This window comes from Homo sapiens, chromosome 15 (genome assembly GCF_000001405.40).
Source record: "Homo sapiens chromosome 15, GRCh38.p14 Primary Assembly".
Taxonomy (NCBI): domain Eukaryota; kingdom Metazoa; phylum Chordata; class Mammalia; order Primates; family Hominidae; genus Homo; species Homo sapiens.
Window position 1 is genome coordinate 68,065,913 of NC_000015.10, and position 25,177 is coordinate 68,091,089.

General features: G+C 37.8%; 1 protein-coding gene across 7 annotated transcripts in view, besides 1 other annotated feature; it reads left to right on the forward strand.

Annotated features, from left to right (window-relative positions):
* The window catches only part of PIAS1 (protein inhibitor of activated STAT 1), a 139,533-nt gene that overhangs the window by 11,598 nt on the left and 102,758 nt on the right, over window positions 1-25,177 (forward strand). For 6 of the 7 annotated variants that reach the window (XM_017022688.2, XM_011522126.3, XM_017022689.2 and 3 more), the window contains one exon: window positions 20,394-20,838. In XM_017022688.2, the coding sequence (XP_016878177.1) occupies window positions 20,394-20,838 (445 nt within the window). Of the gene's footprint in view, window positions 1-20,393; window positions 20,839-21,932; window positions 21,979-25,177 lie in introns of those variants that run through there. The other variant, XM_047433197.1, reaches the window with a different exon arrangement.
* Window positions 3,739-4,239: an enhancer, noted in NCBI's record as "H3K4me1 hESC enhancer chr15:68361989-68362489 (GRCh37/hg19 assembly coordinates)". NCBI's record gives its function as "activates a minimal SCP1, AML or CMV promoter by ChIP-STARR-seq in primed H9 embryonic stem cells {active_cell/tissue: H9 hESC(primed)}" and the evidence as "EXISTENCE:reporter gene assay evidence [ECO:0000049][PMID:30033119]".

Genomic DNA, 25,177 nt, shown 5'->3' on the forward strand with positions numbered 1-25,177 from the left:
AGCTTTTTTTTTTTTTTTTTTTTTTTTTTTTGGAGATAGGGTCTTGCTGTGTTGCCCAGGCTGCTCTCAGACTCATGTGATCCTCATGCCTCAGCCTCCTAAAAGTGTTGGAATTCAAGGTGTTGAGCCACTGCACCTGGCTTGAAGTACTTGTAATCAGTAATGGTGTGGGAAATATATAACTTAATTTTTTCAAGGTTATGTTTTTTCTTTTTTCTTTTTTTTGAGACAGAGTCTCGCTCTGTTGCCCAGGTTGGAGTGCAGTGACATGATCTCGGCTCACCACAACCTCCGCCTCCTGGATTCAAGCAATTCTTCTGCTTCAGCCTCCCGAGTAGGATGCGCACCACTGTGCCCAGCTAATATTTGTGTTTTTAGTAGAGATGGGCTTTCACCATGTTGGCCAGGCTGGTCTTGAACTGCTGACCTCAGATCATCCACCTGCCTCAGCCTCCCAAAGTGCTGGGATTACAGGTGTGAGCCACCATGCCTGGCCTGATTGCTTTTTCTGTAGTAAAATATAAGAATCATATGAATAAATGAAAAATTCCCTAACTTAATATTAGCCAAGAACTTCCTCTCCAGCAGAGCTTAGCTCTTACCAAATATATATGATTGATTTGCATTCTACCTATTTTGTTTTTTTCCTTTCCCTTTTGTGGGATAAACTTGAAACAGGACCTAGAAATTGTAAGACTCTGAATGCTTTTCAGTTTCTTTCTGCATTTCTTTAGAGTGGTGTGTGAAAAACTTCAGCCTCTGTTCCTTAAACATCTTTCCCCAGGGTGTCAAAGTAAGACTGGAAAAGGAATATTTTTGTCCCAGAAGTTATTCTAATATGTGATTTCAAAATCAGGTAGCATCTTAAAGGTTAAAGACCTTTAAAAAAAAAGTATAGTATTTTGTGTCTAATTGAATCATAATCAGGGAAAAGAACATGAATTTTAGAATTGCCATTAGTCTTCACCTCTGAATTTAGATAGTCCCAGGAATGAGATTAATGGTCTTCTAAGTGTGAGTAGGTCTGGTCTGTCCATTTTTTCCCGAGAGGAATTCTATAATCTCTTGTTGAGGCTACTTACCTGGCTGATAATGTTTGGGGAACAAGGCAGGATAAAGGTGTCCCACTTATGAGTATGCAGACTTTGCTTAATCTCCACTTTTAGATTTGTGCCTCACCCTTGATCTTAGTTCCATGCTGGTCTGAGTCTGGAGCCTCTCTGGTTCAGTTGTTCCAGTAATCCTCTGGCCTCTTGTGTTACGAGAGGCTAGTGGGCATGGTAGGGAAGTTGTCTCATGGATATTTAGTTAGAGGAGACCTGAGGGTGTAACCATCCTGTATGTTCAGATTTTCTAACAGCCCCCTTGTACCTTGCCCCCTGTGTTTTTAGATATGCTTGCCTTTCTTTAGTATTCCCCTCTCTAGGCATTTGTAGGTTGTAGCTTCCTCTTCTGATTTAGTTACCACTGCATTGCCTGCTTTTCATCATCAAAAAGTTTGTTGAAATTTCTAGTTGGTTATTTTTTTTTCTTTTTGTCCTTGTGGATTAAAGATTTTTCTTTTTTTCTTCCCTCACTGTCATTTTGTTTCTCTTTATGGGGGGAATATGGCAGACATTTGTATATGGTGAATTCATATTTAACTGGAGGTCATTGTAAACTTTCTGTGAAGCTTATAATACAAACTATATTAATATATAATAATGATTCTTAAATAGATGCCTATGTTGAATTAAGATTTATATTGAGTGGTAGTAGAAATCGTGTTATTTTCTAAGAGAAAGCTAGGTTGCTTTTTTAAAAAAAATTAAATTATATACAGCGTAGTATGTATAACCTTATAGAAAAATGTGTAACTTATAGAAAGGTAGTAAAACAAACATCAAGCCTAATAAATAGAGCATTCTAAAACCTTGAGGCCTTCCTTTGTGCACCCTCATCCTCTCTTCCCCATTTCTTCTAGGTAACTTGTATCAATAGTGTATTTTAAAGGTGAAAACTAGGAGTGAAACAGTAGTTTTGTATATTATTATTTGTAATGTTGTCTTAAAACCATTGCATCTAATATTTTATATCATAGTCTTGTAAATTTCCAAATTTACTGTAGCATTCTTCAAAGAGGAGGATTCCGTAGGAGAAGGTGGAGAGGAAAGTTTTGGAGACCTGAAAATATGTATAGGGTGAACGTGGTGGTTCACATCTGTAGTCCCAGCACTTTGGGAGGCTGAAGTGTGCAGATTGCTTGAGTGCAGGAGTTTGAGACCAGCCTGGGCGATATGACAAAAACCTGTGTCTACAAAAAAATACAAAAAGTAGCTGGCTGAGGCATGTGCCTGTGGCCCAGCTACTTGGGAGGCTGAGGTGGGAGGATCGCTTGAGCCAGGAGGTTGAGGCTGTAGTGAGCTGTGATGGCGCCACTGTACTCCAGCCTGAAGGACAGAGCATGGCCAATATATGTGCTCATAGATTTCAGTAAGTACATCTGGTGATGTTTGTGGAAGAAGGGACTTAAGTTAATTACCACAGTGATTTACCCGGGGTTAAGTCTTTTTTTTTGAGACTGAGTTTGCACTCCTGTCACCCAGGTTGGAGTACAATGGCGCTATCTCGGCTCACTGCAACCTCTGCCTCCTGGGTTCAAGTGATTCTCCACCCTCAGCCTCCCGAGTAGCTGGGATTACGGGTGTCTGCCACCATGCTTGGCCAATTTTTGTATTTTTAGTAGAGAAGGGATTTTGCCCTGTTGGCCAGGCTGGTCTCGAACTCATGACCTCAGGTGTTCCACCCACCTCAGCCTCCCAAAGTGCTGGGATTACAGGCATGAGCCACCGCCCCTGCCCTGGGTTAAGTCTTGAAAAGTGCTCAGGCTTATGTGTCAATGCTCTCATCCACGAAGAAGTTGAATCGTCAGAGTTATGAGAAAAGTCCAGCTTTTTGGCAAGACCATTAAAGTCTGTGTTACACCTTAAATGTTTTTGTCCTTTTTTTTTTTTTTTTTTTTGAGGTGGAGTCTTGCTCTGTCACCCAGGCTGGAGTGCAGTGGCACAATATTGGCTCACTGCAACCTCCACCTCCTGGGTTCAAGCCATTCTCCTGGCTCAGCTGCCCCAGTAGCTGGGATTACAGGTGCGCACCACCGTGCCCAGCTAATTTTTGTATTTTTAGTAGAGACGGGGTTTCACCATGTTGGCCAGGCTGGTCTCGAACTCCAGACGTCGTGATCCGCCCACCTCAGCCTCCCAAAGTGCTGGGATTACAGGCGTGAGCCACCGCACCCGGCCTTGTCCATTATTTTTTTGGATACATTTAAAAAACTCTTAGTAAAACATAAAAATAGTTATTCCTTTACTGGGCTTATAATAAGTATTCTTTGTGGCTATAGGTATTCTCTGCTAAATCTTGCAAACAAGCATTCTCCCTTACGCTCCCCTCCTCCTTCCTTTTGCCCGTTTGACCTTTGGTATCACATTTACTTAAAGCAAGGTTCTTATCCAGTCATTCTATCAATAAAAATGAGTGCTGATTTATATGCCAAATCAGCTGTGTTAAATGCTCACACATCATTTGGGAATGAAATAGAGTTTTTGCTTTTGTGAAATTACATTCTAGGCTGGGCACGGTGGCTCATGCCTGTAATCCCAGCACTTTGGGAGGCTGAGGCGGGCGGATGACAAGGTCAGGAGATCGAGACCATCCCGGCTAACACGGTGAAACCGCGTCTCTACTAAAAATACAAAAAATTAGCCGGGCGTGGTGGCGCGGGAGCCTGTAGTCCCAGCTACTTGGGAGGCTGAGGCAGGAGAATGGTGTGAACCTGGGAGGCGGAGCTTGCAGTGAGCCGACATTGTGCCACTGCACTCCAGCCTGGGTGACAGAGCAAGACTCCGTCTCAAAAAAAAAAAAAAAAAAAGAAATTACATTCTAGTACTCCTGTAACTATATGAAAAATAGTTTGGTTCTCTTGTACCTTTCCATATTTGAATTTTTATAGAGAGCAGATGTTTTAATAATTAGGAAGAACTTTATTTTGGGAAATGTTTTCTGGAATATGAATTAACAATGTTAAATGCATTGTTAAAGTTTAATAGTCATTTGTTGTATATATGCTTCCTAAAGGTAGTTTTTGGAGGAAGGAGATGTGGGAGGAGCAAGGAAAAGATATGAAAGAGTTATTGTAGGAAGTTTGATTGCTGGCTCACTGGAAAGTTTAGTGAGATGCCTGTGCCCATTGAGATTGACGACTGTGGATGTAAAATAACATCCATCTGCATGAGTGCATGCATTCTTTTCTCCTACAAAGTGGGAACTAGTTGAATGTGCCAGGCATGGAGGGACAATGGAATTTTGCAAAGAAATGTTTAGGGGCTAATGGATAGGGCATGACAACATCAATGAATTAGAGATCTTTGTGAATTGAATTCTTGAAATGAAGCAAGTAAGAAAAGGAGGTTGTAGTTGGAAAATGAAATGTTCGAGTTAGTGATTTTGAGGGTGGTGCAGGTTCTGCTGGAAATGTCTAAGATGTGGCCTCGGAAGTGGGTAGCTGAGGGTGGAAAGTAATGATGAGGAGTTAAGTTGGAGCCTGAATGGCCAAGGCAGGTACTAAAACTTTACTTCAGTGAATGACAGGATGACCTAGAAGATGGACTGTCCAGTACTATGGCCACTAGTTCTGTGTGGGTATTGAGAACTTGAAATATGGTTAGTCCTAATTAAGATTTGCTGTAAGTGTAAAACATACTGGATTTCGAAGACATAGTATGAAAAAAAGAATGGAAAATATCTCATTAATGATTGATATTGATTGCATGTTGAAATAATATTTTGTTTATTGGATTAAGTAAATATATATCATTAAAATTAATTTCACCTACTTGTAATTTTTTGAAATAGAGATGTGGCCTCACTATGTTGGCCAGGCTGGTCTTGAACTCCTGGGCTCAAGTGATTGTCCTACCTCAGCCTCTGAAAGCGTTGGGATTACAGGCATGAGCCACTGTGCCTGGCCTTTTTACTTTTTAAAATGTGGCTAGTAGCACATTTAAAATTACGTGTGTGTCTCAATATTTGCAGCTTACATTGTATTTCCTTTGAACAGCACTTTTCTAGAGATATTACTGCTCATAAGTAGAATGGGAATTAGGTGGGAGGACAATTGTAGGGGTTTGTAGAACCCAGTGGCAGAATCCTTTGGGAGAGGGAGTGGACATTGAGGCTTATTTTCATTGAGTTGCTGGTGCTTTCTCTTCTGCTGTTGTTTGTTCTTGGAATTAATGACCTTCTTTTCACCCCCGCCCCCCCGCCCCTACCTCCCTTCCCTCCATGGAGTGGCTAACCCCAGGGAGTTTGCTTCATTCTTTTTTTTTTTTTTTTTGACAGAGTCTCACTCTGTCGCCCAGGTTTAAGCAATTCTCTGCTTCAGCCTCCTGAGTAGCTGGGATTACAGGTGCATGCCACCATGCCTGGCTAATTTTTTGTATTTTTAGTAGAGACGGGGTTTCACCATGTTGGCCAGGCTGGTCTTGAACTCCTGACCTTGTGATCCACCTGCCTCGGCCTCCCAAAGTGCTGGGATTACAGGCGTGAGCCACTGCGCCTGGCCAGCTTCATTCTTTTGAGGAGAAAAATAATAAACGATAATAGAAAGCAGTACCAACAAAACAAATAACCATGTAAATCTAAGTAGTTAACAATGTATTCATAAGAGGAAGAGGTCACTTCTGGCTAAGCTTATTTCAGACTGGGCCTTAGAAGAGTTTTGGAAGTTGGTGGCCAGGCACAGTGGCTCACACCTGTAATCCCAGCACTTTGGGAGGCTGACGTGGGGCGGAACACTTGAGCCCTGGAGTTTGAGACCAGCCTGGCCAACTCTACAAAAAACAGAAATTAGCCATGGGGAGTGACGTCAATCTGTAGTCCCAGCTACTTGGGAGGCTGAGGTGGGAGGGCTGCTTGAGCCTGGGAGGTCAAGGCTGCAGTGAGCCATGATCATGCTACTGCATTCCAACCTGGGTGACAGAGTGAGACCCTGTCTTTAAAAAAAGAAAATTAAAAAAGGTGATTACTGGGATATTCTTTGAAGCAAGGGTAACAGCATGAGCAAAGGTAATGAGGAGAGAAAACATTGAGGTATGTTTGCGGAACAGCTACTAGATCCACATGTGGATATCTGTGTAAGAGAGTAATAAGAGTTAATGGGAAGTTGGCCGGGCGCAGTGGTTCATGCCTGTAATCCCAGCGCTTTGGGAGGCTGAGATGGGCGGATCATGAGGTCAGGAGATCGAGACCATCCTGGCTAACATGGTGAAACCCCGTCTCTACTAAAAATACAAAAAAAATTAGCTGGGCGTGGTGGCGGGCACCTGTAGTCCCAGCTACTCGGGAGTCTGAGGCAGGAGAATGGCGTGAACCCAGGAGGCGGAGCTTGCAGTGAGCTGAAATCAGGCCACTGCACTCCAGCCTGGGTGACAGAGCGAGACTCCATCTCAAAAAAAAAAAAAAAAAAAAAAAAAAAAAGAGTTATGGGAAGTTGGGGCCAGATTGTTATGAGAATTTTCCACATTGAAACTATGTATGGAGTCTGAAACTATGTTGAATGCTATAAAGGAAAGGGACAGAATTCTGTAAGAACATTAACTAGGAAACCTGACTGAGTTAGTGTACTCAAAGAAGTCTTCCCTATTTCTGAACCATCTGAACTACAGACTTCCTCCACATCCAAGTCTTTTCAAATCTTCTTAATGTTATGCCTTCCTTTCCTTCTCAGTTGTTACCGTCACTATTTCAGACTCTTGTAGTGTCAATTTTGTATTCATAAAACAGCCTCTAAATTGGTATCATATCTTACATCCCTTTTCAAATTATTTACTCTTCAATTAGATTTATTTTTTTATGTCCGTTTCCTCCCTTTAACATTTTCTGCAATTGAAAATGTTTTTACAACTTCTCATTCTTTGTAGGATTAAGTATAAACTTCAGTTTTGCCCTTAAAACTAAAAAATTATTGTTTGAACACTAGTTGCTGAGTTTGGATGCCAGTATGCTCAGTAGGCACTGGGTACATTTATATAATGTCCTTATTTGTGAGAGGTTATATGTATAATTTCTTTTTTTATTTTTTTGAGATGGAGTCTTGCTCTGTCGCCCAGGCTGGAGTGCAGTGGCGCAATCTCGGCCCACTGCAACCTCCGCCTCCTGGGTTCATGCCATTCTCCTGCCTCAGCCTCCTGAGTAGCTGGGACTACAGGTACCTGCCACCACGCCCGGCTCATTTTTTTGTATTTTTTAGTAGAGACGGGGTTTCACTGTATTAGCCAGGATGGTCTCGATCTCCTGACCTCGTGATCTACCCATCTCGGCCTCCCGAAGTGCTGGGATTACAGGTGTGAGCCACCGTGCCCGGCGAGGTTATATGTGTAATTTCTAATATATTTGCATTACCAATATGGTTTGTAATAATTGACAGGTGCCAAACCGTTGTTACTCATATTTATTAATGATGAACAAGACAGTCTCTATAGACAGAGCATGTATTTTGGTTAAGAATTGACAAGTAAACAGGGCCTCTCTACATATGGCATAAGAGCGGTAAACTGAGTTAAACAGGAGAGCACATAAAAGCGTAAATTTTTTTAATGTTAGGAGTGGATTAAGGAAAATATCCCAAAGGTTGTGACATCAAAATTGAGAACTTACTGATTTGGAGTTAGCTAGTAAAAGGCTGGGATAGGAGGGGGGAGAAGAGCTTCTCCTTGAAAGAACAGCATATATAAAAGTCCTGGAAGATGGAGAGTTGGTTAAAAGATTGGTTACGGTGGTCATGCTAAGGAGATGGGGCCTCTGAGTGCAGTAGGTGATCATGGAAAAGTTTAAGCACAAGCGTGACATCATTGGATTTATATTTTAGAATGATCACTGGCAATAGTGAGGAGAATGACTTGGAGAGGATAATATTGGAGGCAGGGAGAAAAGTTAAGAGTCTCTTGCAGACTCTGAATTAGAGTGGTAATAGGGACTAAGATATTTTAAGGTGTTAAGATTGACAGGACTTGGTAAATAGATTGGAGGTGAACAAGAAGATGGTGTAGCAGCTTCTGGCATTGACGGGTGATTAGGTGGATGGAAGGTTTGGAGAGAGTTGATGTGTTAGATTCGAATATGTTGAGTTGATGACTCTTGGGATATAAGGAGAGGTGTTTAGCAGATGTGGATTTGGAGTTTAGGAGACCAAGGTTAGGCTGGAAATAAAGATTTGGAAATTGTTAATTTAGAGATAGCGTTTTGAAGTTACGAGTGGATGAGATCACTCAGGAAGACTGAGCTGAGTGAAAGGATTACTTTAGACTTAGGATTCAGTGATATTGTTCTTCTTCTGTCATAGAGTTTATCTCTACTTTTTTTTCCTTTTTTAAAAATTAAATTTAAAAAAATTTTATTTTTAGACAGGGTCATGCTCTTCCGCCCAGGCTGGAGGCTTGATCTGCTGGGCTCAAGCCATCCTCCCACCTCAGCCTCCTGAGTAGCCTCCCAAAATGCTGGGATTACAGGAAGTAAAATAACTTTTATTTTTAAACTTTTAAGAACATTGGCTGCATTGAGTATTTGGAGAAGTACTCTGGAATTTGATTAGCTATATGTTCAAGGAATGGTATTAAGAATGAGTTTTCAGTAATTGTTCTTTTTGACTGATTATGATAAACCTCATATTTTATTTCACTTTCTAATGTCCACAAAAGATAAAAGACTTTTTTTATAAAACCATAACCACAGATCATTTCTTCTTTTGGCTAGTTTATGAATTGTCCTTTAGACATGGACAATTAAACTTTTTTTTTCTTTTTGACAGAGTAAGTTGTAGATAGATAAACTTTGTTTTTCTCTTTTTGTGCTTTTAAAAAAATTGCTTCTTATCTGGAACTTTAGCATTCCTTTTTTTTTTTCTTTTTGCTTTTTTGTTTAATGTTTTGGATATGTTAAAATGGATGCTAAAAAGTATAGTCTGTTTGGGTTTTTAGCCTCAGAGTTTTGTGAGTAGCTCATTTTCCTTTTCCATAAATTTCACGAAGAATGTGTAATATGTTTTCATGAGCCTCACCTTGAAAATGAATTTTTATGTACATTAATGGAATTTTTGAAAGAAAATAAAAACATTTTCTTTCTTTCTTTCTTTTTTTTTTTTTTTTTTTTTTTTTTGAGGCGGAGTCTCTCTTTTGCCCAGGCTGGAGCGAAGTGGCGTGATCTTGGCTCACTGCAACCTCCGCCCCCCCAGGTTCAAGCAATTCTCCTGCCTCAGCCTCCTGAGTAGCTGGAATTACAGGCACCCACCACCACACCTGGCTAATTTTTGTATTTTTAGTAGAGATGGAGTTTCACCATGCTGGCCAGGCTGGTCTCGAACTCCTGATCTCAGGTGATCCGCCCACCTCGGCCTCCCAAAGTGCTGGGATTACAGGCGTGAGCCACTGTGCCCAGCCAAAACATTTTCTTAAACTTGCTTTTGCTACTGTAGTAACTTTGTAAATTTTACTTTAAATCATAAAACTTAAATTTTAATCATAATAATCTGTTCTGAAGATAATGATCATAATGATCTGTAAGTTTTGTGGAAAGTTAGCAGTTTTACTTTACATAGACTAAAGGATGCTTTTGTTGTGAAATTATTTCTCTTATCTGTAACTAGTAGAATATTCAAGTGAAAGTCTTCCATTCTGTGTAGAAAAGAAAGGGTCGTTATTATTAATAGGCTTCTGATGGAATTTTAAAAAATATTTAGGCAAGCTGTCATTGCAAGACCTGAATAACTTTTTGCTGTAACCTATTTTTTTCTTTTTAATATTTCTCTGTGTAGTTTGTAAGGAATCATTCCTAGGGCTTTTTTTTTTTTTTTTAAGATGGAGTTTTACTCTGCTGCGCAGGCTGGAGTGCAATGATGCGATCTTGGCTCACTACAACCTCGGCCCCCCGGGGTTCAAGTGCTATTCCTGCCTCAGCCTCTCAAGTAGCTGGGATTACAGGTGCCCAGGACCGTGCCTGGTTCATTTTTATGTTTTTAGTGGAGATGGGGTTTTACCATGTTGGCCGGTCTGGTCTTGAACTCCTGACCTCAGGTGATCTGCCCGCTGCCGCCTCCCCAAAGTGTTGAGATTACAGGCGTGAGCCACCGCTCCTGGCCACCTAGGGCTTTTAGAACATTTGTGTACGTCTTTTTAAAAACTTGTTTCTGTCTAAAACTTATAAATCAGGACTGAAATATGATAACCTTAATTTTCTTGTGCACTCTGGAAGATGTTTATTTTTACCTTAAGATAGGGGAATCAGGCTGGGCGCGGTGGCTCACGAATGTAATCCTATCACTTTGGGAGGCCGAGGTGGGTGGATCATGTCAGGAGATTGAGACCATCCTGGCTGACACGGTGAAAGCGCGTCTTTACTAAAAATATAAAAGATTAGCCAGGCATGGTGGCATGCACCTGTAGTCCCAGCTACTCGGGAGGCTGAGGCAGGAGAATCACTTGAACCCAGGAGGCACAGGTTGCCAAGACTGCGCCACTGCACTCCAGCCTGGGCGACAGAGTGAGACTCTGTCTCAAAAAAAGAAAGAACAACAACAAAAAAGATTGGGGAATCCTAGGAGAAAAGAGTCATCTTAATCGCAAATAGTTGAATAATCTTCATTTGTAGCCTTAAATTTTATTGTTACTTGGAGGATAATCTCTTATGATATGCTCAGGGCCCTAGAGAGTTGACACTGTCATATTCCAAGTTCTTAAGGATGACTTGGGTGAATATTTAAGGGCACAATTCTCAGATTTTATATATGACACGGAACTGGAAAGGGTGTGTTAAGATTATAAAAGGAAGAGGAATTCATATCATCATCTGTTGGGCACTTACTTGGTGTCATTAACTATACTTGCATAGGGGATATGGAGATGAGTGTTTACCCTTGAAAAACTCAAAATCTATGGGAGGACATAAACTGGAAAATCAGTGTTTTACCACATTTCGTGATAATTGTACAATAGAGGGGTGTAGGATACAATTTTTCAAAAGGGGTTTGAAAGGCTGGAATGAAGAGCTGAAAAACATGAAGTTTAATGGCATGAAACATTACGTTCTACTTTTAAATTAAAAAAATTGTATTCGAGGATGAGGTGGTTTGACTTTATACTGTAGCCATTTATGTGAAAAAGATAGAATAAAGGTTTTAGTTAACATAAGCAACAGGATGATGTGGATGCAGCCCCCTCCCTGCTGAAATAAAAGAATAACACATACCATACATCCCCTCTTGTCCAAATAAAACAAACCTAAAACGTGAATGACTTGTTAGGTTATATTGGTAAAAATACCATGTTCATATTAAGAGGGATAGTAATACTGCTGTGTTGGAGACTAGTCACACCATATCTAGATTATTTCATTCACTTCTGAGTACTATGGACTGCAGAATGCTTGAGAATGATCAGGAGTGGGAAGGGGTCTAGCTAGTTGAAGGAAAAGAGTCCTTTTAACACATTTTAAGCATTTTAAGAGTCAATTTTGGTATACCAAGAGGACGAAATTTTAGAGCCATTGGGCGGACTTTAAAGGGAACTTTCAATTCCTAGAGCTTTTCGCTAATGTGGGCAGCTTTTAAAGGTTGTGAACTCTTAGAAGTGTTTTAGCAGAGGCTGGGGGCCCAGTCAAGAAAGTTGGAGTAAAACTTCATATATTAGATGGAGTTTTAGACAAGAAGATCTTTAAGTTCTGTTTTTGATACTCTGTTGCTGTTATTTCCAAAAACATTTTCATACTATGTGATAGTGTCTGTAGTTGTTATTACCATGTAGCATTGTGTGGACATTGGCATTTGCCTTTTGAGTCTGAGCTCCACTACTTGCTAGCTCTGTTACCTTCAGTAGGTTACTCCTGTTACTCGGAAATAGTTCAGTACCACCCCTCTAGGACTTTTCCTTAATCTCTATACTAGGACCCAGACTGAAGGCTGTAATTTAGACTCTTTAGTTTAGAAGATGCATTCTTGTCACTTTTTGTTTTGTTAATACGTGTTTCTTCTTTTAGGCTTTTCAGCTTTCTCTCAGATAGGGTATACTGTTCATTGTCTCTTGTCTTATCTGAAACTTAGATCATCTAATTGCAAATGCAGTGTTTTGTTTGTTTTTGGTAAGGGGACAGTTAGGAAAGAATAATCATCTTTTAGAATTTAATAGACTTAAAACTTCTTAAAGCCCTACTTAGTATTTTTAAATTCTAGATTTTATTTGAAAAGTGAATGATGATTGTTCTCATGATCAAGTACAGTACTAATTTTTAAAAGACCTACCTGTTTGTAGAATATTGAACATGGCCTGTAGTTTTTCTTTGCAGTATTTCTTGGTCCTGTCTCCTGTATTTCCACTGCACAGTTCCTTCTTACCTTACATGTAGATAAATCCTGCGTGTTGCCATGTCTTTTAGCCAGAAGGTTTATTTCTTAGTTTTTTTCTTATTTCAGCCATCCTATTGGTGGTTACTTCGGTAACTTCCTTAAGCACTATTTCAATTACATCTTTACTGCCTCTAAAATATGCATTTATTCCACTGCCTGCTCATGTTATACTGTATAAATTCCTTGACTGTCATTTAGTGCCCCCGTCACCCATTTCCTGTCCGTGTCTCAGTGTAACATATACTCAGCTCTGGCTGAGCTTGTGATAAGACATTGTATTAGTTATGAACTCTGGAATCAGGTCAGATTTGAGCCCTATCTCCATCATGTAGTTACTGTGTGATTTTAGATGTAATGTCAGTTTTCTTATCTATACAGTGAGAATAATAATGCTCTGTCTTGTAGGTTCATATGAGGATTAAATAAGATAATCATGCTTACTATAATTAGTATGTTACTGGTACATTATAAGTATTTAATACATATTATGTTTTGTCATTTTTAGTCTGTCAACCCATGTAAATGACGCTAAAAATTATGATTGAAAACATTTTTAATATAGAAAGATTTCACTAACTGTATGTATTGTATTTCCCCAACTGTAGAAGAGTAGAAGAATGAGAAGAAAATTTCATTTAATACAGTTACAATGTTGAATTTTGAAATTTTAAGGAATCTTTGAGAACCTCTAGTTAATCCCTCTTTTTTTTTTTTTTTCAAAGTGAGAAAACAGAACCTGTAAGATTGTAATTTGGTAAATTAGTGGCCAAGTCAGTACCAGAATCCAAATTCTGTATTTGCCAGTACCATTATATTGTATTGCACATTTATTCAGCATATTTTAGGTATTCAGTAACTTTTGAGAATTGAATTAATACGATGATTACGCATGTTTCTGAAGACTAGTTTATTTCTATGTGTTCATTGTTCCTGTCTTCTCTTCCTATACATACTCATTTAGGGCCTGTGCATTGATCCAAAAAGCATTTATTGAACATCTGTGTGCAGAGCAGCCTTTTTCTTAAATAAGAGCCATATTTTCCCACCTCTGCATAAGAAGTCTGGCAATGTGTTAGAAATTTGCACTCTAAATTTTAAAATTAAACTAAGCCCTTTAAAATTTTTTTTCCTTTTTTCTTTTTGAGACAGTGTCTCACTCTGTTGCCTAGACTGGAGTCCAGTGGTGTGATCACAGCTTACCACAGCCTCGAACTCCTGGGCTCAAGGGATCCTCCTGCTTCAGTCTCCTGAGTTCCTGGGTCTGTAGGTGTGTGCCACCAATGGGCCTGGCTAATTATTTTTTATTTTTTATTTTTAGTAGAGATGAGGTATTGCTGTATTGCCCAGGCTGGTCTCAAACTCCTGGGCTCAAGTGTTCCTCCTGCCTCAGCCTCCCACAGTGCTGGGATTACAGGTGTGAGCCACCACACCTGGCCTAAACTTTTTAGGAAAAATATTGTACTCCAATGTTATAACATTCTGAGTTGGATTTGTTATTTATTTTTTTGAGACAGAGTTTCGCTGTTGTTGCCCAGGCTGGAGTACAATGGTGCGATCTCAGCTCCCTGCAACCTTCACCTCCTGGGCTCAAGCGATTCTCCTGCCTCAGCCTCCCGAGTAGCTAGGATTACAGGCATGCACCACCATGCCCGGCTAATTTTGTATTTTTGGTAGAGATGGGGTTTCACCATGTTGGTCAGGCTGGTCTCAAACTCCTGACCTCAAGTGGTCTGCCTGTCTCAGCCTCCTAAAGTGCTGGGATTACAGGCCTGAGCCACTGCGCCTGGCTGGATTTGTTATTTTTAATGTTCAGGTTATCGTCCAGAAGGAGCTTTTTGAAGGATAGAAGTTTCATGAAATGTGGTAGTATATAAATAAGGATGATGTTTAAATTATCTATCAAAAATTAAAGCCATGGTGTACCATTTCAACAGTGTTTATACTTTGTTTAAAGAAGAATGGGATCTCTATTTATGTATAATTGCAATATTTTGTCATTTTGTGGGACCTCAATGCAGTCAATAAGATGGACCTGGAGAGGTGGAAGATAATTAACTAGAGGAGTAGGCACTACAGGTCATTTTCCGGTTGTCTTATGCTGCAAAATAGATAAAAGTTGAGAAATTGGGTGAAACAAGATTATGGAGAAGTATGTAACCAACCTGATTTGCTGCTTTGAATAGAAACTGTCTAACTAGGTTTTCTGGTTGAATGGGGCATTGTTGACAGATTGCTAATAGCTGCTTATTAACAATTTGTAATGAGAAGATTTAGAAATCATCCAAAAGTAAGCCCCATTGAATGAAGAATCTGACTTTGAAAATAATAAAATACTTTTGTTGTTGTGTGCAAGCTTTAATGTGTGCAGTTACAGAATTTGTGATTATGCATTTGCTTTTGTGGATGAAAGGCAAAAGTATAAATGAAATATTATGACATTATTAAATCCCTATTTTGTCTGTCTTTGGAATTCATTCTGGTTTACAATTCGTTATAAATTGATACCAGATAAAGACTCATAATATAGTCTGCTTAATGACTAATCCTGTAAACCACTGCAGTGGGATGTGTGAACAAGAGTAATTATGTTGTTCAACAAGAAGTACCTAATTCTTATCCACAGTGTAGATATAACCTTCAATAATGGAAGGTCACAGCTAATGAGACAATAAAACTGGCACTTTCTGTTTAGTTGCAAAAGCCTGTTTGCTTGTTGACGTTGTTTGAGTATTGTCTGTATTTATCTTTCTCAGAACATGGCCCCTGCCTCTGTGTAGTTGGGACAGAGTTTGCGTACATATATATCTGTGTTTTTGTAAAGTTTTACATATCTGAAAAGGGGATTGAATAAAATGTTATTGTCTTGAATGTATTGAACCTCCCATTCTGCACTACTCTGCCCTTAGAACACTAGAAGCCAGCCTTATACCACCAAAGCAGGAGATTGGGTTGTTCCTCTCTGTCAAAAGTGATCAGACAAAAGGAAGCAAAGGGAATCCAAACAAAATAGCCAGGTTATTGCCCAGTCATTCTAGATGAAGTACCCTGGTCTGCTCACTCACATAGATTTTCCCATCATCTTTTTAGTATCTTACTCTTAACTATGTATGCACAGCCCAGGATTGTCTCTCATTTAAGGAAAGCTTCAGGCATGAAAGGCAGATACCAGTGTAGGGAGAAGAAGAAAACAACATCAACACCCAATTTATATTCTCAAAAAAGAAAAATAACAAAATGTAGAGGAAAAAGAAAAGAGAAATGCAGAAAATTAAAAGAGTTCATGGAAATTAAAAATTTAATGTAAGCGTTAGGAGATAAAATTGAGGAAAATCCCAGAAGATAGAGCTAAAAGACAAGAGATGTAAAAATGCACAAGGAAAAAGAAAATAGAGTAAAGGAAAAATGAGATTATCAGTCTAGGAAGACCTGTGTCTGAATAATAAGTGTATAAGAAAGAGAACACAAAGACATGGAAGGAAGATTATTGTAAGAAAACTTCCCAGAACTGAAGGGGACATACATCTCTAAGTTTAAAAGGATCGACAGTTATCAGTTTATGCAATTAAAAAAAAAAAAGACCAACCCCAAGGCACAACATTGTAAAATTTCAGAACAGATTAAGAGAAGCTGCTATGATTCCAGATGGGGATATATAGTTGACTATGAAGGATTATGGGTCAGATTGGTACTAGGCTTCTTAACACTGGAAGCCAGAAAACAATAAGGAAAGGCCTTCAAAATCTTGACACAACATGATTTCCTGCCCAGCACTCTGTACTGAGCCAAACTCAGTCGTAAGGGTAAATGAAGATTTTAAAAATACAATGCAAGGAATAAAAACATCGTACCTCACATGCCCCCTTTCTCAGAAAGCTGCTAGAGGAAATACCCCACTAAAAAGAGAAAACCAAGAAAGGGGAAGTAGTGGCATAAGGAAACGGGATCCAGTATAAAAGAGAGACAAGGGAATTCCTGGGATAAGCTAAAGGGAAATTCCATGACCATAATTGTGCACCAGGCTTGGAGAGCCTACAGTCCAAATTGGAATATGGTGGAGGGCTACAGGAAAGAAAACTGATTTACCTGATGTATTTGAATATATTGAGAAGAAAGTTAATACTTTTAGCTGTTTGCAGATGAATTAGCAGTAGGTACCTAGAAACCTAAGCAAATGGAAAAATGGTGTAGTTATTAACTGTAAGGAAAGCAAAGTTATACAGAAAAGAGTAATCATGATGTACTTTTGGCTCAGCTGTGAATATTATTTACAGCCATAGTAATAATGTAAGTACTGACAATTGATTCAACCAAAAATTATGATAGAAAGATGAGGGAGAGAAGATGTAACAGAGCTAAACCATTATATTTTATAATAGGAAGTCAGTAGAGTCCTCAAAGAAAAAATTAAACAGCTGCATAGACCTACTACATAGAATATAGAGAAAAAAATGCCAGAAGAACTAGCTAAAAAGACTTGAAAGTGGTTGCCTCGGGGATTTGAAAATTGTGGGGTATGTTAAAGGGGGAAGGGACTGCTGTTTTTCTTGTAAAACTTTTTGGTTTTTTAAATTGTGTTCACGTCTGTCAGATTATGAAAATTAGTTTTAAGAGGTTGCTCCTTACAGAATGCTCTTGCATTCAAAATATATACAGTTCTGAGGCATTCTAAATCCCCTAGGATTCTGAGATCTCTATCAATTGAGGACGTAGAGTCAGCAGAATGCTACAAAATTGCTGAGGAAGTAATGATTTCTAATAGTAGTAGTGGTTGATGCAATCCTTAGTTGTAAATATTTATTTTGTTGTGCTAACAAATGGAGATTTTTAAACACCTTAAATGCAGATTAAAATATATTTCATTTCAACAACTCAGATGTGTTAGTGTTTAGTTTTCCTCAGTGTTGTCAACACTTTTCATTGTGAATTGACTGCTTTATGCTTCTTTGCAGCTTTTCTGTTGAAAGATGCTTCAGTGTTTCCCGCCCCCTTCTTTTATTTCATTTTAAAAAATACTGCATGCTTATCACAGTCCTTAAGAGTATGCAACAGCTGTTCCAATAATAGCAATAGATAGCACCTGATTTTTCATTATACCTGATTATAAGTTGCAATGGTTAATTTGAATCCACATTCTTTTCTTATCTTAATCGCCAGTTTTTAAAAGCCAAAATGTTGAAGCTTGAAATGGAGATTGAGTTAAATAAATTAATCTTCAAATAGGTTTTTCTGTTATCCAATTAAAGGCATGTGGTTCGTTTCCTCTTAATGTCAACATATTATAGCATGAAAGAAAGTACATTTGGAGTAGAACCAGTTGCATGACATTCAACACGTTTCTTAACCTTGCTAAGTCTTATTTTCCCACCTGAAAAGTGAGAACAGTACCTGCCTGATAATTATGACAATTGATGATGAATCCTGTAAAAAAAAAAAAAAACACCCAGTTACTCAGGAGGCCGAGGCAGGATCACTTGAGCCTAGGTGTTTGAGAACAGTCTGGGCAACATAGCAAGACCCTATCTCTTAAATAACAAACAAAACTAAAAAGCTTGGCTTGCTGATAGCAGCTACTATTTGAGTACCTACTATGTACCAAGTATTGTTATTGCTGCTGCTACTCTTTGTTTCAGAGAGAGACAAAAAATGTAATTGAGGGCGCTCAAGTTTATTGTTGTGTCATAAACTTTTTTGGACCATCAAGCAAGAGATTTTATGAGAAATGTCAACATATTCTTCTACAAAAATAGGAAAATGATACATCTGCATTGCATCTGAATCTTTGTACCTATGGAATAAAGACAAAAGCTGTCATCAATGCAGAGTTTACAGTAGTCACTGAATTTTGCTGGTTTGTTTTTGATTTAGGAGAATGGAGTTGAAATAGTTCTCTTCAAAATTTGTACTTTTTTTTTCTGTAAAATGCAGTACATTTGACCCATGCCAACTTAAATTTATTTTTAACCTCTAATCCTTGAAGTTTCATGTTATTTATTTAAAAGCAGTTTACTTATTAATAGTACATTTCAGTTTGAAGTCCCTGTTCCTTTTTAAATAATAAAAGTCTTTAGAAGTATTTTGTACTCTTTTGGTGAGTAGGGAGAAATTGATATCCTGCTGATATTATAGTTAGTAATTGTTTACAATCTTTGATAACATTAAAAAGAGAAAACATTTCTAAGATTTGGGTGGAATTTGTTAAGGTTTACGTTATATCTTTGCATGCCTCTACAGAACATGAATTTGAGCATTTATTTGGATAAGTTATCGCTGTAGATGCTACCTCCCACCCTTTCTTCTGGTGTCCTTTCTTACTTGTTTATTTGTTCGTTCATTCATTCACTCATTGATTATGCAGGCATTTGAAGAGTTTCCACTGTTGTCAGGCCCTAGTTGTAGATGCTGAGGGTAATATGGTTGTGTACCATGGAGAACCCTGGTTTGCTTATAGAATCACTTGTGTAAACAGAAAATTACAATAAAGCAAAATAAATGCTAAAATACAGATGCGAAAAGTGGCCTTTGTAAAAATAGTGAGAGTAAAGATCATCCTACCAAGGCTAATGGCCAAAGGCTAACAAAAGCTGGACCTTGAGGAAAGAGTTTTCCAAGCCAGAGAAGTAAAGGAAGGACTCATATTTCTTTGATTAACCAGCTATATTGCTTATAAAGCTCTTTATATACTTTTCTCCTCAGTATTTTATTTTTTGCTTAATGGTTTTGCCACCTGCAAAGAACCCTTAGAGAATTGGCTGGGGTTATCATTGTGAGTGGTGGTGAGTTAGGGAAGGCAGCATAAGCATAGCTTTTGTGTATTTGGTATGAGGTGAAGGAATTAGTTGGAGAAATAGAGAGCAAATGGTAAGCTTACATGTGTCTTTTTATCCTAATACTCCCTGTCAGTGGTGATGCAATCTTTTAGGATTCTGCTAATAGCTGTGTGATCTTGGGTAAGTGATTTCTTCTCTTTGGATTCCATTTTCCACCACTTTAAAATGGGAGGATTGGTATAGATGGTCATTTCCTATTAGTAGGTGGGGAAAAAGGAGAAAGGGGGACTAAATAAGTTTGCGAACATAGGTAAACAAAGTTAAATAGATTACTGCAGCCTCATGCATTATGGCATATGAATTGGGTTGCTGGACTTCTAGCTTGGCCTTGCAAGTTAAGTGAGAGTCAGTAATATGAGTCCAGCTCTGTCTTTTTCCTAATGGTTTAGTGGAAAGAGCATGGGCTTTAGAATCAGACATATCTGGGTTTGAATCCTGACTACTCCTTAGTAGCTTTATGGCTTTATAAGTTATCTAACCTTTCTGAACTTGTCTCCTCATGTATAAATCAGGCAGGATAATACCTTGCGGAGTTGTAAAGATAATGACATTCCATGTGAAAATATCAAATAGAATATCTGATATATAATTGGTCAAAAAAGGTGTAACTTAAGTCTACAAATTCCAGAGTTAGTACAGAATGTAAGTAACACTTGATAATAGCTATTGATATCCTGCCTACATCTGGTGTTTGAGATGGACTGTTTGTTGTTTCATATATACTTATAATTCTTCCCCAAGAAAACAAAATATTCTTGAGAGCACATCATTACGTTTTGCCATCTACATAGCACTCGACATTCTCCTGGAGACTCAGTAAGTGCTTGATAAATACCTGACAGTTTCATCAAAACAGTGGAATAAAGTGAGGTGTGGTTTTCCCTGGTGTATACTTTATCCTATATTTCTTATAACCAAGGGTAGAAGTCAATGAATTTATGAATATTAATTTTAAATTTCTTTGGTTACTTAACGTTAAATGATTAAATTTGAAGTTTGAAATAATAGGATTATAAGTGAGCTGGCCTTTATTTGCTTAAGTAAACCATAAGAAGGGGGTTATAATAAAGTGTCATTTAATAGTGTAAATTATATTATTGGAATACTAATGTTTTACATTTTGTTTTTTCTCTAAGCAAATGGTTATGAGCCTTAGAGTTTCTGAACTCCAAGTACTGTTGGGCTACGCCGGGAGAAACAAGCACGGACGCAAACACGAACTTCTCACAAAAGCCCTGCATTTGCTAAAGGCTGGCTGTAGTCCTGCTGTGCAAATGAAAATTAAGGAACTCTATAGGCGGCGGTTCCCACAGAAAATCATGACGCCTGCAGACTTGTCCATCCCCAACGTACATTCAAGTCCTATGCCAGCAACTTTGTCTCCATCTACCATTCCACAACTCACTTACGATGGTCACCCTGCATCATCGCCATTACTCCCTGTTTCTCTTCTGGGACCTAAACATGAACTGGAACTCCCACATCTTACATCAGCTCTTCACCCAGTCCATCCGGATATAAAACTTCAAAAATTACCATTTTATGATTTACTGGATGAACTGATAAAACCCACCAGTCTAGGTAAGATTATTGTATGATAGTATTTGGTTACTTTTGCAGGATGAATTTTCGTTTTAGGCTTTTACTTTGACCCAGTTTATTATTCATAATGAAATTTTCATTTGATAGTAACAGCTGGATAATAATGAAGATCTTTCAAATTTAGATAAAATCAAATATATAAAAGCTGTCTTTCAGGAAAAAAGGTAGTATAGTGATGGTTACTGACAAAGTAAATATTAAAAAGTTTCAAGAATATAAACTTCCAAAGAGTAGTATTTTAGAAGGTTGATTAATATTTTATAATATCTCATAAATTAAATTAAAACCAAATGAATCACTACAAGTCTCTGATTAGTTCTTAATTTTCAGGGGTTGATGATCTCTAAAACAAATCACTGACTAGTTTTGATTATTTAAATGAGTGAATGGTTTTAATGATCATAAAAGGAGACTTGAGCTTTGATGTATGCTAGTTAAATTTCAGCTGATTTTTTTCAAGTGGAGAAGTGCATGCTTTACAGGCATGCACATGCACATGCACACTCATGATTACGGTTATATAATATAAGTGCTTGAAATTTATTTTACTGTGTTGTTCCATCATTTGATTTGTAGTCTAGCATATAGAATTCAATATATTAATCAACTTGTAATTTTAATTGCTATAATGCTACCTTATTTATTTAACGTAGAATAAAACTCAACTGTTGTGACCTCTGATGCCTTTGGTATAATATATTTAAAATATCAGACTTCTAAATGCTGGTTTGTTGGCATACTACGGCTGGCAAGCTAAGTCCAGTCTGTGGCCTGTTTTTATGTGGTTCTGAGCTAAGAAATCTGAAAAATATTCCCAAAGAGTTATTAACAAAAAAGGAAAGAAACAAAAACAAAGAATGTGTAACGGAGACCATGTGTGCCTGTAAAGCACAAAATATTTACCCGTATAGTAAAAGCTTGTGAATCCCTGTTACAGATCATTGAACATTTCAGTTTGGGGGACTGGCAAGTGTTGAGAACATTTTTTGCGAATTTTTGAGAACATTTTGAAAATGTTTACTGAAATTCTATCTTTGAAATATGAAGTGTTTGTTTTTAATTATATTTAGCAGAAATTATCTGAATACACGAAGATTATAGGAGTCATTTTCAAACAACGTGAGTTTTGTATCACATTATTTTATTTTTTAAGTGGCCATAATAAGAAAACATTTTTTGAGAATCTACTGTATGCTTATAAAACTGACACATGCTCATTGTAAAAAATGGAATTGCCAAAGTTCCTTCCTTGTTAGCTGTTTAGTGTGTATGCATATATAGTATAAGCAAATTGTTTCTTGTTTTTTACAGAAGGAATCATATACATAGTATTGTATAACTTCCCTTTTTTCCCCTTAATAATATATCATATGCATCTTTTCTTGTCTGTCTGATTATGTGTGTGTATATATATATATATATATATATATCCCATTTTAAATTAAAGGCCATATCTGTATCTATCCATATCTCTGTATATGGTCTGTGTACATGTATGTATGTGTACATATGTGTTATGTATTGATCAGTTGATGAAAACGTTGTGACCAGGGGCTTGCAGGAACCTAACCCTATACTTCCCCTGGTAGCAGTGATTATATATTCGCAAATTCAGTGTTTGTGGTGATTTTATGAACATAAATGTCACAAATAGCAATAATTGACTATATTTGAAGTATGATTTGAATGCCAGTTTTCATGAATAAATCTGCTGTTTGTGGTATGTATTCACAGAAAGTCACCAAATGAATAGGTGGTATAGAATTGCTTAGTGATATGTAAATAGATTTTCAGTATCTCATCGTTATAGAATTAAAAACAAACCAATTTAATATGCATAAAAAGATCTCACCACAAAGTAATTTGTGGAAGTTTATTGGCTCAATAAATATTTGTTGAAGGGCAATGCTTATTGAATGTGAAAAATATTTATTGAAAAAAGATTTTATGTAATTAGTCTTCAGGGTGTAGGATGAGTATATTTTAAGGCTCTGTTTTTATAAATTCTTTAACATTATTAAGACTTTTTCTGTACTTCATTAAATGAAGTGGCTACATTTGTCACATAACTTAGTTTCCTAAATGATTATTTTTGCCGGTAGTTCATTTGTTTTAAATCTAAGAAAACCACGTTTTCTGGAAAATTAAATAGCTTCCAGCATTCTCTTCATTTCTAAACGTACATACATTTAAAATCAAGTTTTTGAGAACATAGTTTCGAACACCAGCTGGCTAGTTGATCACAACTATCACTGAGTCCAGAATGGGACAGGCACATTTACTTTTTCATTTTTTCCCTTCCATTGTGGCCTTAAGCACTAGATTTAAACAGATTTTAAGATGTTCAAATGTAAACTGAATGTTTTTATGCATGGTTTTGTATTTCTAACTAAAATGGAAGACAGTAGTTCTGATAATTCCCATTTTATTAGGTAATTCTCATTCATTCTTACGATCATTTTGTTATTTCTTTAAAACAATTTAAAATAATTTTAAGGCCTTTATTTTGGAGCCATAATTAAAGTATTCTTTTCATTGTCCATAATTAACTGTAAGAATTGAGAGGTGAAGTAAAAGGTGGTTGTAAAGTAAGATGTTTAATTTATTGTTTACTTTGGCCTCTCATTATCTCAATTCTGTTTGTTTCTATGAGGCTTATTTCAAATGCTTTTTTTCTTTAACCTTTTTCATTTATCTTTCTAGGCTGTCCTCCTTTCATCTGTACATTTCTTCCCCAGCCAGAATCAATTTCACTTTCCCTGCATGCTCTCATAACATTTATTTTTTATTTTTATTTTTTTGAGACAGAGCCCCATTCTGTAGCCCAGGCTGGAGTGCAGTGGCACAATCTAGGCTCACTGCAACCTCCGCCCCACTGGGTTCAAGTGATTTTCATGCTTCATCCTCCCAAGTGGCTGAGACTTACAGGCACGTGCCACCATGCCCGACTAATTTTGTATTTTTAGTAGAGATAGGGTTTCACCATGTTGGCCAGGGTGGTCTTGAGCTCCTGACCTCAGTTGATCCGCCCACCTCGGCCTCCCAAAGTGCTGGGATTACAGGTGTGAGCCACTGCACCCGGCCTCATAACATTTATTTTTTAAATTTTATTTTATTTTATTATTTGAGACAGGGTCTTGCTCTGTTGCCCAGGCTGGAGTGCACTGGCACAATCTCAGCTCACTGCAACCTCTGTCTTTCCGGCTGAAGCAGTTCTGCCACCTCAGCCTCCCCAGTAGCTCAGACTACAGACACGTGCCACCATGACTGGCTAATTTTAGTATTTTTAGTAGAGTCAGGGTCTCATCATGTCAGCCAGGCTGGTCTCGAACTCCTGGACTCAAGTGATCTTCCCACCTTGGCCTCCCAAAGTGCTAGGATTACAGGCGTCAGCCACCACACCCAACTTAAATTGTATTTAATAATAATAATAATTATTATTATTTTTTGAGACAGGGTTTCGCTCTGTCATCCAGGCTGGAATGTGGCGGCGAGATCTTGGTTTGCTGTGGCCTTAACCTCCCTGGCTCATGCAATTTTCCCAACTCAGCCTCCCAAGTAGTTGAGACCACAGGCATGCACCACCACACCTGGCTGATTTTTGTTTTTATGTTTTGTAGAGTTGAGGTCTCATTATGTTGCCCAGGCTGTCCTAACATTTAATTTACCCTTTATTAAATGTTTTTGTTTTGTTCCTCAAAATGATAAGGCTTCTGAGGCATTTATCTATAAATCCCTATAATAGCTAGATATGAACCTGTTACATGGTAGTTCAGTAAACATTTATTAGCTCTCCAACTCGTTTTAATGCAGTAGATGGAATCTTTTATTTCATTTTAATTCAGTGGATTTTAACCATTTTACCTTGCAAACACAACTGAGCCATACCACACTCTGTAATTACAAACAGTGGCTATGATAGGGATGGGAAATAGAGTAGGGAAGAATGGTATTCTTCCTCTTATTGCCCTATCCTGTCATCTCTGAGGTTAATTGATGTCTTTGAAATTTAATATACTCCATTTAAAAAAAATTTTCCCTAATTACAAAAATGTTATGTTTAATGTAGAATCCATAGAAATTATAATTACTTGCTTACTTTACAGATAAACTTTTAAAATACTTCTGTGGTATTCTTTTTGTTAGTCATTTACGGGTGTGTGTGTGTGTGTGTGTGTGTGTGTGTGTGTGTATTTCTGGTTTCATTTTGAAGGAGAGGAGAACCTCACTAGCTCACGTAACCTGGCAGCCGCATGTATTATTGATCCATATAAATAATGGAAGAAAATTTTAATCTTGATAGGATGTTGAGCACATG